This window comes from Homo sapiens, chromosome 6 (assembly GCF_000001405.40).
Source record: "Homo sapiens chromosome 6, GRCh38.p14 Primary Assembly".
NCBI classification, from domain to species: Eukaryota; Metazoa; Chordata; class Mammalia; order Primates; family Hominidae; genus Homo; species Homo sapiens.
This window is the reverse complement of record NC_000006.12, coordinates 57,808,864-57,822,763: the sequence shown is the minus strand read 5'-3', so window position 1 is coordinate 57,822,763 and position 13,900 is coordinate 57,808,864. Positions and strand designations below refer to the sequence as shown.

The following is a 13,900-nucleotide window of genomic DNA, read 5'->3' as shown; positions in this document are numbered from 1 at the left end:
CAGTGTTTCATGACAAAGGGTTTCAGTGACCACCCTTTTAAACGCAACGCCATCACCGTCCGCCGGTACTGTGGCCTGTCCCTATCACTCCTTTCTACTTTGCTTCCGTAGCTTCCGAGCAACCCGTGAAGAAATTGACGGAAAACGGAAGGAATTGCCGCCAGTTCCTTTCCACGGGCCGTCAAGGCCAATATAAGTCCCCACCCAGGCTCCTCTGCTCGTAACTTCCAGCACGACTCCCACTGTATTCGCCCATGTTTCCCAAAAGTGAGTATTTGATCCCTACCCCACCCCATTTTTAGAAAGCTCAGGAAAACGCTCTCGTATTTCTATCTGAAAAGGACACTTTAGAGAAATACGTTCCATTACAGTCTTTGTGTTCGCATTGTATTCCTTCTCGATGAAACAGGTGTAAGTCCATTGGTATTTTACGCACGACAAGACAACTTTGAAGCCCGACTCATGACCTTTAGATTAAGAAACACTCTCCGGGAGCTCTGCTGATCGCTGGGTCTTACGAGGTTGATGCCTTCTGTCCCAAACAGAACTATTTCCCTGCGTGTTTCCGCCTGGCTGCCCACTTCTCCGGTAGAGAAACAGCTGTTCCTCGGGATTCATTTTTGGAAGTTCTTTGGGTCCTGGGTAATGGGGCCGCATCCTGCAGCGTCGACAAGGTGGTTGAATACGCAGGAACACCCACAGCACCCAGGGACTAATAAATAGCTCAATAGATACATTTCGAATAACTGAATAAAGGAAATCTCAACCAACCCCCTTGCCGTATTACAGATGGTCCAGCTCTCTGCCTAGACTACTGTGCTAATGTCCTGTTCCTTCTCCCGGCTTTTGAACTAGATTCTCACCTCTCTCCAATCCATCTTTCGCAGGGCTGGCCTGTCTTTCCGCCTCACTTCTGAGATTCTATCCATTGCAGCCTCTATGCAAACCGACTCTGGTTAAGATTTCAGTCGGTATGGCTCCCCTCTTCCGCACTTTGCACTGCGAGAAATGCCCTTCCTTGAGGCAGCTGGAGGCCTCCTCCCCCTGAGAGCTTAATTGTGGACACAGCCTTGAGTAGAGGCGAAAAGGAAAGAAGGCTGGGAGATAATGGGGGAAAGCACACCTTTGGTCTGGTTTGAAAGCTGGCGCCCGAAAAGGGGAGCGAAAGGACAAGAAAAAAAAAACACGCTCCGAAAGTGTCTGAGATTGCTGCGGCCATAAAGCAGAGCACTAACCGCGGTACTGATAAGGGAGGGGAGCAGGGCTCCGCCGCCGGGCCTGTGCCCATGGACCTAGGTGAGGACGGGCACTCCTTCCTCCGCGGCCAAACGTTGCATTTCCCAAGACCACCCTGACCCGCCACGCCCCCATCCTGTGCCTATAAAAACTCCCGAGACCCTAGCGGGCACAGACACAAGCGGCTGGACATGAAGAGGAACACACCGGCGGGAGAACACAGAACACGCACCCTTTCTTTTAGTCACCCTGGAGGCCTCGGAGAAGGCGGTTTCAGTGATCCGTGAAGAGACCCCGAGTCTTTTACATCCCGGAGAATGACAAGAGAGCGAGTACCTGGGCGACGTTTACGTTCTGGGATTTCGGGAGATGCGGTTTTCTGCACGCCAGGGGCCAAGCCTGAGACGTAGATGGACGGCAGGGATAGGAGCTCTCTCCGCGCCACAAACGCCCCTGCTCATACCTGGGTTCCTTGATTTTCCTGCCTATATAACCCAGCCTCCCATGGCCGGGCTCTGAGCTCTCATTCTGCGGACTGGGACAAAGGGGTTAACTGTGATGCGCTTTGTATAACCCCAGGATTCTGCACTTGCCCAAGGGCGAGGTGCAAATCAAAAACTACGCACAACTGAACACCGAGATCAGGTGAGTCCTGAGTGTCTCACGACATAAAATCCTTACGATTTTAACAAGAGTTGTATTTGTGCTAGCACTGTTAACTGACAAACGCATGCCAGATCCCATCTGTCTTTAGCTCAATGTGTGACGTTAGACACGTCGTTTTGCTCTTCAACTTTCTTATTTGGAAAAAAAACAAGTGTTCTAGATTTGCAGAGGACATTTTCGGAGCTAAGTTCCAGTAGCTATACTGTAAGTTGATTTCTTGGGCAGTTCTGTTGGTGAGGAAAGAGGGCAAATTGAGAAATGAACAAACACAGAAGTTGCAAAAGCCCTGTGACTTACAGCACAGGACAAGTCTACAAACCCTGCCATGCTACACTAAGCTCTAATTGTTTTAACACCAGCTTACTCAGACCCGATGATCCAAGATAAGACCAAAGCCAAACGGATCCAGCAACTCTGCGCAGATCTTCATGTTCCAGCAGCTAAGTTCCACTGAATAAACCTATGATTCGCCTAGTTTAGAAATTCTGGCCGTGCGCGGTGGCTCACGTCTGTAATCCCAGCACTTTCGGAGGCCGAGGCGGGCGGATCACAAGGTCAGGAGACCGAGACCATCCTGGCTAACACGGCGAAACTCCGTCTCTACTAAAGATACAAAAAAAATTAGCCGGGCGTGGCGGCGGGCGCCTGTAGTCCCAGCTACTCTGGAGGCTGAGGCAGGAGAATGGCGTGAATCCTGGAGGCGGAGCTTGCAGTGAGCCGAGATCGCGCCACTGCACTCCAGCCAAGACGACAGAGCAAGACTCCGTCTCAAAAAAAAAAAAAAAAAAAAAAGAAAAAGAAAAAGAAAAGAAAAGAAAAGAAAAAGAAAAAGAAATTCTGTCCAGTCCCTCCTGAGAAGGACCTTACTAACTTTCCCCCTAAAAGTGTCCTATGAATAGCTCCAGTCCCCAAACCCTTTAAATTCTGGTCTCTGACTCACCCTTGTTTTAGGCAGTACTGGGACTCCACAGAGGTACGGCTCTTTGCTCAGCAAGTTTAATAAATCCAAGGTAGTAGAATCAATTTGTTTTCTTGGTCGTCTTGTTTTGAGGGAGTAGGTCTTCTAAATGTTGATTCTGATCCCTGCCTATGGATATTTATGAATAAATAGATATTTGCACTCCATCATTATGTGGAGCTACAAGTGTTAAATTTAACTATCTAATTACCTCTAAAATAACCACTAAATTCAACAATCTGAAACTTATCTAATTAGTTCCACATCCTGGAATGAAGGGATTTAATAGGTAATAACAGATCTCAGTCTCTAATGGAGACATAATCACACAGACACCAGACGAAAGATGAGTAAAGTGGAAAGCAATAGGTAGAACAATAATTTGCTTTATGCTATGATTTTTGGAGTGAAGCAAGAAAATTAATCAAGGAAACAAAGAAGAAATCCAAGACGTAGTAGTGTTGGATTTGCATTTTTGTCATATGACACTACTTCTATTCTACAGGATTCACTTGGTCTCCATCTGACCTCCTCAGAGTAGACTGCTCTTTCCCAATCACTCCTGCAATTACCCTAGGAGATGTGTGATCCTAAAGTAAGGGGGAATTTTAAATTTACTTCTAAGTACACCTGCATGATGCCATTAGTCAGGGCAGGGTAGCTGAACAAACTCAGCTCTGAATCCTTTAAGCAGAGGTAATAATTACTGACACTATTTAATCGGATTCTGAACATGATGTGCCACTTTTCCTTTTGCGTCTGAAGTGACACCAGCCATTTTCACAGTTTCTTCCACTATGGTTAGTTTGATAAGAGAAATATAAAGGCAAGTATTTTTTTCACTCAGTTCACCTTGGTTCTAAGAGTGGGTTTATATAAAGAAATGGAACGTGCTTCTGCTAATTAATATTCAGGCAGAAAAAGTCATGAATTCCACTACAAACCCATGTCCCTTCTTCCGAAGACATGAGAAATTGATGAGGGTATTCTTTCTTCTGTCGGTAAAACGAAGTCTGGGATATAGATTGCAATATTAGCAGTGCCATAGTGCAGAATTTCTCATAATTAACACTTTTCACTTGAATACATAAGAAAATAGAATTGGAATGCAAAGTTAATAAATTAATCATGTTATAAACAATATGAACATAGAAGCAAAAATTGCATGGTCTTTGGCATGCAGTCTTTGATTTGGGGAATACATTTTTTCTATTGTTATCAGGAAGAAAGAACAGAAACAGTTCATATTCACATGGACTAGACAAAAGTATGCATTTATGTGCTTACTCCAGAGGTATATCAAGTCCCCCAATTTTTCCTAATCTAGTCCAAAGAGAATTGAACTGTCTGGACCATCAGCAAAACATTGGTACACTGTATTGATAGTATCATTTAAATCTTCAATGAGCAAGAAGTGTCAAGTAAGTTATAGATTTTGTTAAGCCCTGCATGCTCCAGAGGGTGGGAGAGAAACACAAAAACCATTCATCGACCTGGTTCGTGAATGAAAGTTTTTAGGATCTGTGAAATTCTGAGACATTTCCTCCAAAGTAAAGTCTCATTGTTGTATCTCGAAGCTCCCGTCACTTAGAAGGGAGCACGGTGCTCACCATGTTTCTCTGAGCTGTGAAAGCGGTGCGTTCCACACTTGGAGACCCTTCTCTGACACATTTACCAACAGATACTGGATTAAAATATTAACAAATTGAATCCAGCATTATCTGTAAAGCATAACGCACCATGAGTTAGGGGAGATTGCCTCGGGAATAAAAAATTAGTTAAGCATTGAAAAGTCAATTAAATGTAATATACTACATTAACAAAAAAAAACGCATGTAATCATCTCACTAGATGCAGAAGAAATATTGGACCAAATTTGCCATTCATTCGTGGTGTTTAAAAAATATCCCAGTAAACTACGTATAGAAGGAAAATTCCTCAGATGAATAATGGGCGTTTAAGAAATTCCTACAACTAGCAATAGAGTTAATAGTGGAAGAATAAATATGTACCCTTTAATATTGGAGAAAAGTGCAAAATATCTGTTCTTACTACTTCTACATTTTACTGAAAGTCCTAGCTAGTGCCAGAAAGTAAGGAACGCATGAATGAAGAATAAATGGCATACTCACTTTAGAATAAGAAAAATATATTCATTTGCAAGCAACATGATCAGATACACAAAAAATCCTAGTGCATCTACAAAAATAAGCATTATAAGTAAATGCAGCTATGTCACAGATTACAATATACAAAAATTAATTGTATTTCTATGTACTAGCATCAAAAAAATGGAAAATTAAATTACCACTTTCAATAGGTTTAAAACAAATGAAATATTTAGAGATAAACTTGTCAATGTGCACAGGACTTGTACCTAGAAATCTACAAAAGATGGCTGAGAAAAACTCAGGAAAACTTGAATAATTGGTGCTGTTTGACATATTTACAGATTGAAAAAGGTAATATTATTAAGATATCATTTTTTTCCCTCTGCGTTGATCTATAGATTTACTACAATCACAACAAATATCCCAGTAGGAGATTTTTGTTTTGTTTGTTTTGTTTTCTTTTCTTTTTGTTTGTTTGTTTTTACAGAAATTGACAAGCTTATTCTGAAGGACCTAGAGTAACCTAAATAATTAGGAAAAGAAAAACAAAGAGGACTTACACCAGGTGATGTCAAGACTTATTATAAAGCTAAGGTAATCAAAATAATGTGGTATTGTCTCAAGGATACTTACCCAGATTGATGGACTAGAATAGATAGTCCAGAAATAGACCAACGTATGTGGTCAACTGATTTATGACAGAGGTAAAATGTTATTTAATGAGTTTTTTAAACAAATGATCCCAGGCAACTGAGTATGGAAAAAAGGATTCCCTACCCTTACCTCACATCCTATACAACAATTAAATCAAAATGGTTTATATACGTAAAGCTTAACATTAAAGATATCAAACTTGTAGAAGAAAAGAAGTCTGCACATATTTGATGTAGGCAAAGCTTTTTCAGAAGGAACCAGAAAAGCATGAGCCCTTACAAAAAAAGATACACTGGATTTCATAAAATATTAAAATGCTTTTTCTTTGAAAGACAATATTAAGAAAATGAAAAGGCAAGACATAGACTTGAAAAGAAATGTAATATATGTCATATGCACACATAGTTGTTATACAACATATGTGTTATGGATACACATATAACAAAGGACTTTTATGGAGAATATAAAACACATTTTAGAACTCAGTGATAGAAACACTCAGTAAGGATAAGGGCAAAAAACTTGAGCAGGCATTTCACAAAATAAGATGCTTATATGGCCAATAGGCACACTAAAAGATGTTCAACAACATTAATCAGTACAAAAATGCAAATTAAATCTATCAAGGATTAATAGGTAACAACAGATTTCAACTCCCCTGAATGGAGAAACAATTAGTAACACAGATATTAGATAAGTTACTTGAAGGATCAATCGATAAAAAGATACTTGGGCTTATTTCCAGGTTTGTGTTCTTAAAAAGTGATGCATTCAACAGAGCATTTGAGGTAACTGCTAATTAGGGACGGTACTTCCTTCTCTTTCATCTAATGGGAGAGTGAAATCAGATTAGAACTAGTGCTTTCCTAATGAGATCTTTTCTCTCTTTCTCAGGATCCCGACTCAGATTGAAAAAGCAGAGGATGGTCACTGCCTTCCAGGTCTGAGGCTGTCTCCCAGAAACTTCATTCCTCGCTTCGCCTTGGTAGGGAAGTTCCCGGAGGTGTTTGAAAAGCTGGAAACTTAAGTGGGACATGGAACGATATTTGTGTCCCAGTTATAAAAATAGGCAGAAAAGACAAAGGTGGTGTGGGGGAATTAGCTCAAGCGGTAGAGCGCTTGCTTAGCATGCAAGAGGTAGCAGGATCGATGCCTGCATTCTCCAGCTTCTTTTAATCCCTAGGCTACCAATGGTATCTGGTAAATACTTTCAGCGGATTTACCGCTCTTTGTTTAACTCAGTTTCATCTTGTTATGTACATCTTTTTTTTTTTAAGGAAATTATACATAGTATTCCATGCGAAAGCAAAAAAGGAAGCGATTAGTCACAAGTGAGTTTTGCCAATACAGGTTTTGGGGCTTCAGCTCGAAGTTAATACAATGTATTTTTGTGGGGAAATCAAACTTTAGCCTTTTGGGTACAAAATATGAGAAACAGCCTAGAAATAGTGTCAGGAGGCAAAAGCAGGAGACTTGAATGTGCCAACCTTTTGCTTTTATTCACATTGACAACACATGGTCAGGTAGAGGATGAAAACGTGTCTTCTATCAGATTATCTGAGAGTTGGCCAGGCTCCCACCTTCACTTATACTCCTTCCTTACCTCTCTCCTGTGTAGGTAAGAGAGGTAAGGAGAGAGGTAAGGAAGGAGTATAAGTGAAGGTGGGAGCTAGCATATTAACTCTAGTGGTCGGATACACTCTCACTAAGAAAAGTGACATTTATTCCTTCTATTCATCTCTCTGAAAGCTCGTTCTGACAAAAATGTGCTTAAAATAAATGGGGACCTAGGTCTTCCTCTAATTTCCAAGATGAACCAAAATGTAAAAAAATGTATTTTTGAAATTGCAACACTATCCCCTATTTAAAGAAACTACATGAGGCGCTGTATTAACAACACATATGTTGACTAGCTCAACTGGCCCAAGCAGAGCTCAGAATGCTGGAGAGAGTGGTCTTTGGATAGATGACTCCAGGAAGCTCTTGTAGGTCCCTGGGACGTGCCCCTCTTTCCATCCTTCTTTCTTTCCCATCACTCAAATCTCTCTCTGACACCATTTGACTTCTCAGCATTGCCCTTTGTTAATCGTAATAGAAAGACAATGTTATTGATTACATGTTTTTCTATTTTATCTTCTTATTCATAAATGATCTCAAAAATGAATGTCATAAATAATAAACATGTTGTTGAATTTTTGTCCCATAGGAGCAGCCTCTTTCATTCTCAGGATGTGCTCTCCTAATAAACTGGGACCGTGAAGGAGGGACCTGAAGCTGCCCCAAACCACCTGCAGGTCCATGAAGGCCATGCCTCCACCCACTAATCACTCTGAAAGTAGTGCCCCTCCACTCTTCCCCAACCACATTTCCTTTTCAGGCAAAAACATTTCTATGGGTTTGTTAGACCCTAGCTTCTAATCCTTTCTTCAGTCTTTACTGATCTGAAGCCACTCTCTCCTTTGAGGCTTCTAAATTATCTGTATAGCCTTTCTCCATTCAGCAAATTTTCATCAGGCAAAAATCCTACTTGACGCTAGTTATACTCAGAGTAAAATAACTATTTTCCTGTCTTAAATGAGAATTCTTCACAGGTGGAAAGCAGATTTGGAATCCACTACAACTCCAAGGCAGTGGAGCTAATGTAGCCTCCCCTGGGCTACAGGGGAAGCCTTCTTCTGTGGGCCTGGGAATTGAAGAACTAGACAGGCATAAGAAGGACAAGTGTGGTGCCCAATGGAGCAAGAGAAGGGGGGAGGAAGGTGACAGGGAAGGGAAATGGCAGGAGAAGCACCTACACAGCAGACACGGTATAACCTGCATCTGTTTTTCCTTTTGGCTGAGAGATCCCTGAGCTCTGTGGTGACAATTTTCCATAATTTTTCATATAAAAAATGAAGATTATAAACTATTTCTAGGCATTTTACCTGCATTACTATTAATATGTGTACAGCATCTAAAATAGGGCCTAGACGGCAATTGCACAGTACTATTACTTGCTATTGTTGTGGCACTTTCTGTGTGGATCACTGGCCTCATCCACTGTGCCTGGTGCTGAAGAAGTGCTTCAGGAATGAATCCACAGATTGAGATGAAAATTCACAAGCTTTCTCTTTCTCAACTCCTCCAAGGTTCTCCATCACTTTCTGAGTCCTACAGGAGGAAAGTGCTATTGAAGATGAGGCGCGTATGGCGTGAAGTTCTGGGGCTGGGAGAAGCTGCCCCGCTACTTCCGGGTGGCCTTGCCTGCAGGGAGCAGGTGAGGATCACAACTCTAGAGCGGGCTGGAATAGCTGTGCCCGCAAGCCAGGCAGTTCCAGGTGGTGCTTCTCCAACTGGAACGTGCTCTCTAATTCCGAGAGATGAAGAAGGCGAAATTGGGAAGTGAGGAGAGAGGTCTCCCTCATGACCTATTTTGGAAATCCGTATTCTTCACACTCTCAGGCTCGTAGAAGTTTGCCCAAGGCAGTATCTGAGAAGCTCCGCCCTCAATCTTGTCCTGCCAGGGATTTGGCGGCCCAAAGTACCGGCAGGCTCCTGATAACCAGGAAAATGGGTGGGGTGGCGGGCCTCCTCAGTGAGGAATTAGCTCAGGCGGTAGAGCGCTCGCTTAGCATGCGAGAGGTAGCGGGATCGACGCCCGCATTCTCCAGTTTCTTATCTGGTTTATGTCTCTTAGTTTGTATTCCCCGTTGTTTCTCCTGTTGACGACATCTGTGCCTCTTATCTGGGAGAAGATCAGAGGAAACTGCCGCCTCCCCCAAGCACGTGTTTTACTGCTCCCCATGTAAGAGTCTTGTTGCCCCTGCTTCCATCCTCCCATCTTTTCCACTCCTGCCACAGGTTTGGCACTTCTAGCTACTCAGGTCTTAATGCAAATTTCCCGTCTTTAGACAAGTACAGCTAAAAGTGATGCCCACACGATCTCTCAGTTCCTACTACATCTTCACAAATATCGTCTCCTCCAGAAAGTATGTCTTTAAGATACTGGTTTGTTTTTCTCTCCCCTAGAGTGGGAGCTTCCTGAGTACCGAAACGCTGTCTATGTACACTGTGTTCAACTCGCTTCATCCCCATGTGTAGAGTTAAAGTTCTGTAAAATACGGTTACTGCCTTGAACAGATAAGGAAACAGGGAGATCAAAGACAGAGCAATACTTAAAAACATTATCCTGCCACATTTCTAAAATCTTAATAATAGCATTCACTAATGTTTTTGGTTTTTCTTTGTGCTTTCTCCATATCCCCTTATCATTATTATTATTATTTTACATTTGGCTGACCATTTTACACTTCTTTTTCAAATGACCAATCAGATTTTGCAATTTTCTAGTTAATTCCTGTGTTTCCTTCACCATTCTATTTTCTTTTTTTTTCTTTTTCTTTTTTTTTTTTCGGGCGGCTTCTTCTTCTTCTTCTTCTTCTTCTTCTTCTTCTTCTTCTTCTTCTTACTTCTTATATTTAATGCACTGATTTCTTCTAATGTTTTGTAACTTGGGTATTCAAGGTGTAATTTAAAATGAGAAAGCAGTTTCTACAGAATCCTTAGAAATATGTCATTATAAGTCCCCATTTTCATTATATTCTAAGGAGCTTGAAGATATACTTTTGATTCTTTTTAAACTGTGCATTCGAGAATTAATCTCTTCTTGTTTACTTTTATGTTCAGTCTTTCAATGTTATTTTCTAATTTTTGTGTATCATTTTATTTATCAACACATAAATATATACATTCACATAAGTATACGAGTTATATATACATGTATTTATGAACGGCAGCTGAACCACACATTAGTGCTAATATTGGTGACTAAAAGTTGGAGAACCAGACATTATGTACCTCATAAAGCGAAGCAATGGAAAGTGCACAAGCCCACCTATCAAATTGTCTTGTTAAAAGATTTGAAGCTGAATCTAAGTGAGCCTCTACTTGTAACTACCAGTTTACAAGAAATAGAGTAGATTAAAAAACATGTCAAGGGGCAGGAAATAGATACAATGAAATAAATACAACATAGAGGTGTTTCTAAGGATAAAAGGCCCAGTTCCTTCAACAATTAACTGGCATTAACTCTTTATGATACTATAATGATAAATATATGTCATTATATATTTGTTAAAAAAAAAAAACCCAGGATGTATAACACAAAGAGCAAACTATAATGTAAACTGTGGACTTCAGTTAACAATAATGTATTACTAATTACTGGTTTACCAGTTGTAACAAGTGTACCATACTGATGCAAGATGTTAATAATAGGGAAAATTGTAAGAGAGGGAGAATGATGGAGTTTATGGAAACTCTATCTATTCTGATCAATTTTTCTTTAAACCCAGAACTTCTCTAAAAAATAATGTCTATCAATTTAAAAAAAAAGTCTATCAATTTAAAAAAATAATATCCATAAAAGAAAGACCAGGGACCTTTTATGGATGAAAAGAGTCTTAAAAAACATAAAAATCTGTAGATTTTACTTTATTATTTATAATCAGCCATTAAGAGAAATTTTTTTTGTATGGGTGACAATCAGAAAAAAAAGTTAATATTAGATCATATTTATGATCTATTACCAATTTATTAACAACAAGTACATACACACATGCAAAACACGGCCCTAAAATGTCCTAGTTCTCTCAAGCTATTGATTTCATCCTTATCTCTGCTGCTGAGTTCAAGAAAGTGAAATGTGTAATGGGTATCTCTCCTTTCCAACCTTCCTTCCAGTTCACAACCTAGTGCTGTCCACTTGCATGGGATGTTTCTTTTCCATCACAATGCTCTGAGATAACGAAGTCGAGGGAAGTTTGTGCAGCCCTCCAGACCCTCCAGATTTCAAAGGAAAGCCCACCGCTGCTGGTCTGGGGGAGCTGATGGCCTATTCATGGATGAGATGGACTAAGGACAGTGGGAAGCACAATGGACCAACAGTATTGTTGGAGGGGACTGCGTGAGGAAGCAGGAGCCTAAACAACACTCTCCAGATACTGCGTGAACACTGTCTCCAGAGGGGTCTTGTAGCATCAAAAATTAAAGCTAAATGTTGATTTCTTTCTGGTAATTATTTTGTTCAGCAACCTGGAAAAACGAACAAAAATTATCTCATTCCCTTTCCTATCTAAAGTCTGAAATATTTAATTAAAATGATAAAATTTAAAAAAGTGTTTATTAGGCCAGGCTCGGTGGGAGGCCGAGCCGGGGGGCGGGGGAAAATCACTGGAGGCCAGGAGTTTGAGACCAGCCTGGCCAACATGGCGATACCTCATCTCTACTAAAAATACAAAATTAGCTGGGCGTGGTAGTGCACGCCTGTAATCCCAGCTACTCGGGAGGCTGAGGCAGAAGAATCGCTTGAACCTGGAAGGTGGAGGTTACAGTGAACCGACATCGCACCACTGCACTCTCAAAAAAAAAAAAAAAAAGTCTTTATTGAAAGTTTTAAACTTAAAAGTGCTCTCACATATAAATACATCATTTTCTCTATATACATGATTTTTGCAAGTATACATGTCTAGACACCCTAGGAATGGTGGTGCCGTGGTGTGAACGTGGAGCCTGGAATGGCCAGCCCCAAAACCTCCTCCTCATCAACTGTTGACTCATCAACAGTCAGTCAGTAATCATAACTTCCTTAAAATACAAGAGCCGCAGAACATTCCGGGATATCTGTGCTACTTAATCTGGCAGTTCCTACTGTGTCTTGCCCCAGGTGTGACGTGCTCTCTTCCATGAAATTAATAACTGCAAACTGTAATGGGAACAAGGCAATTGATTGTCTCCGCACTCTTGCCCAAAGCGTTCTCTGAGATGTTTGGTAGTTATTTGGGTCCTTACTTGATCTTCGTGGCCTTAAAACAAAGGGAATATGGCATTTGTGAATCTGAAAGACTTGTGATAATTTTCTCATTTCCTCCAGGCTGTGCGCATCACCCTGAGTTTGCGGAGGGATCAGCCCTTTTTCAGAGCCCCCTCACGTCCTGAGTATCATCCTCAGAATGTGGGGCTTGGGCTCAATTTGAAGAGGGTGTGAGGGAAAGCCAAAATGCAGGGATTGTCCCACAGTGCAGTCCTGCTTTGTAAATCCCTTCCTCTGACTAGCTTGATTTTAGTCTCTGAGAATGGATGGGGTGGGATGGCTTTTCAGTACTTTCTGCTGAGATATTTTTGTACATTCATTTCTCTCTCAAGGAGCCTCTATAACAAAAGAGAAAAAACTGTCTCGGGTTCTGTGTGTGGCACATGAGTTTGAAGGATTTCTGAGACTATTGTTCAGGACTGGCGTTACAGATGAAATATAGATTCAGGACCAGTGACGATGGGATCCTTGGCAGGCGGACATAACGCCTCGTTAAGGACAGACTGCCCACCACTCTCTTTCTTTCTCTCTTTCCGAATTCATTTTCTATAAATTCCACTGGGTATCAGAACCTTCCTTAGGCTGACTGGCGCTTCGCAGTCTCCCCTCCAAGCCCGGATCTGTTCCCCAAAATTCTCTCGTTCATGCTTCTAGCTTCTCTTCTTAGCTTCTCTAGGTTCTCTTCTTAGCTTCTCTAGGCTTTCCTTGTTTCCCAGGTTGAATCCCCAGTTCCAAGCGGCTCCTGTAACAGGGAGTGGGAGCCCACCCTCCCACTCGCCGTGTAGCACTCTGCATCTCTGAGAAGAAAGTGACCACCCCAGCCCAGCACAGATTTTCTTCGTCTTTGAGCACCTGCTCGGAGTTCCCGCCCCTCGTCACTCCTTGGTTTTCCCTCATTGCCTACATAGAGTCTGTTGGATGTCGGTCAAGGTATACCCAGCCCCTGCCATGGGAACCTTTTGGGGAAAAACAGACCTGATTTATTTATACTTCAAAGATGCCCAATGATTCCCTGTCGTCTGTGTACCATAAAAATAAAAACAGATAAAAATAAGAAGATCAATGTATTCGACATCTACACCCAGGCGTACAGCTCTCAGATGATCAACTGGGAAGCGACTGTTGCCCACCCAGAGGGAAGAAAGGAGCAAAGCCGGAGGATGCGGACGCAGACCCTGCAGGCCGCTGCCTCCCAAGTGAGCGGGTTACAAATTCCGCTAACCTCAGCCCCCTACCCCGCTATTGGCTATTTGAGGCATGTGGGGGATTTTTCCGGACTAGAAGTCTTGTGTTCCACCTGGTTTTTCGGGACCACTCAACATTCCTGAGCTCCATCCCTGCCAAGGTGGAGCCAGCACAGGACTGCAGGCGGAGTCTCCAGACTCATCCAGAAACAGCCACTGCGCGGAGCCGGGAGCGCGTGTC

The 13,900-nt window shown here is 41.8% G+C and overlaps 1 long non-coding RNA gene and 1 other non-coding gene across 4 annotated transcripts; both read left to right on the top strand.

Moving 5' to 3' along the window:
- The first annotated feature begins 122 nt into the window (after positions 1-122).
- Positions 123-11,668, top strand: LOC105375102 (uncharacterized). Of its 3 annotated transcripts, XR_007059626.1 has the most exons (5): positions 1,405-1,881; positions 6,520-6,610; positions 8,754-8,881; positions 9,302-9,409; positions 11,347-11,668. It is a non-coding gene; the product is annotated as an uncharacterized LOC105375102 (long non-coding RNA). The 3 variants fall into 3 exon arrangements; XR_926901.3 differs by lacking the exons at positions 1,405-1,881; positions 9,302-9,409 and adding an exon at positions 123-267 and having other exon boundaries at positions 11,347-11,623; XR_007059625.1 differs by lacking the exon at positions 9,302-9,409 and having other exon boundaries at positions 11,347-11,623.
- Positions 6,718-6,790, top strand: TRA-AGC24-1 (tRNA-Ala (anticodon AGC) 24-1). Its single transcript has one exon. It is a non-coding gene; the product is annotated as a tRNA-Ala (tRNA).
- Positions 11,669-13,900: the final 2,232 nt, after the last annotated feature.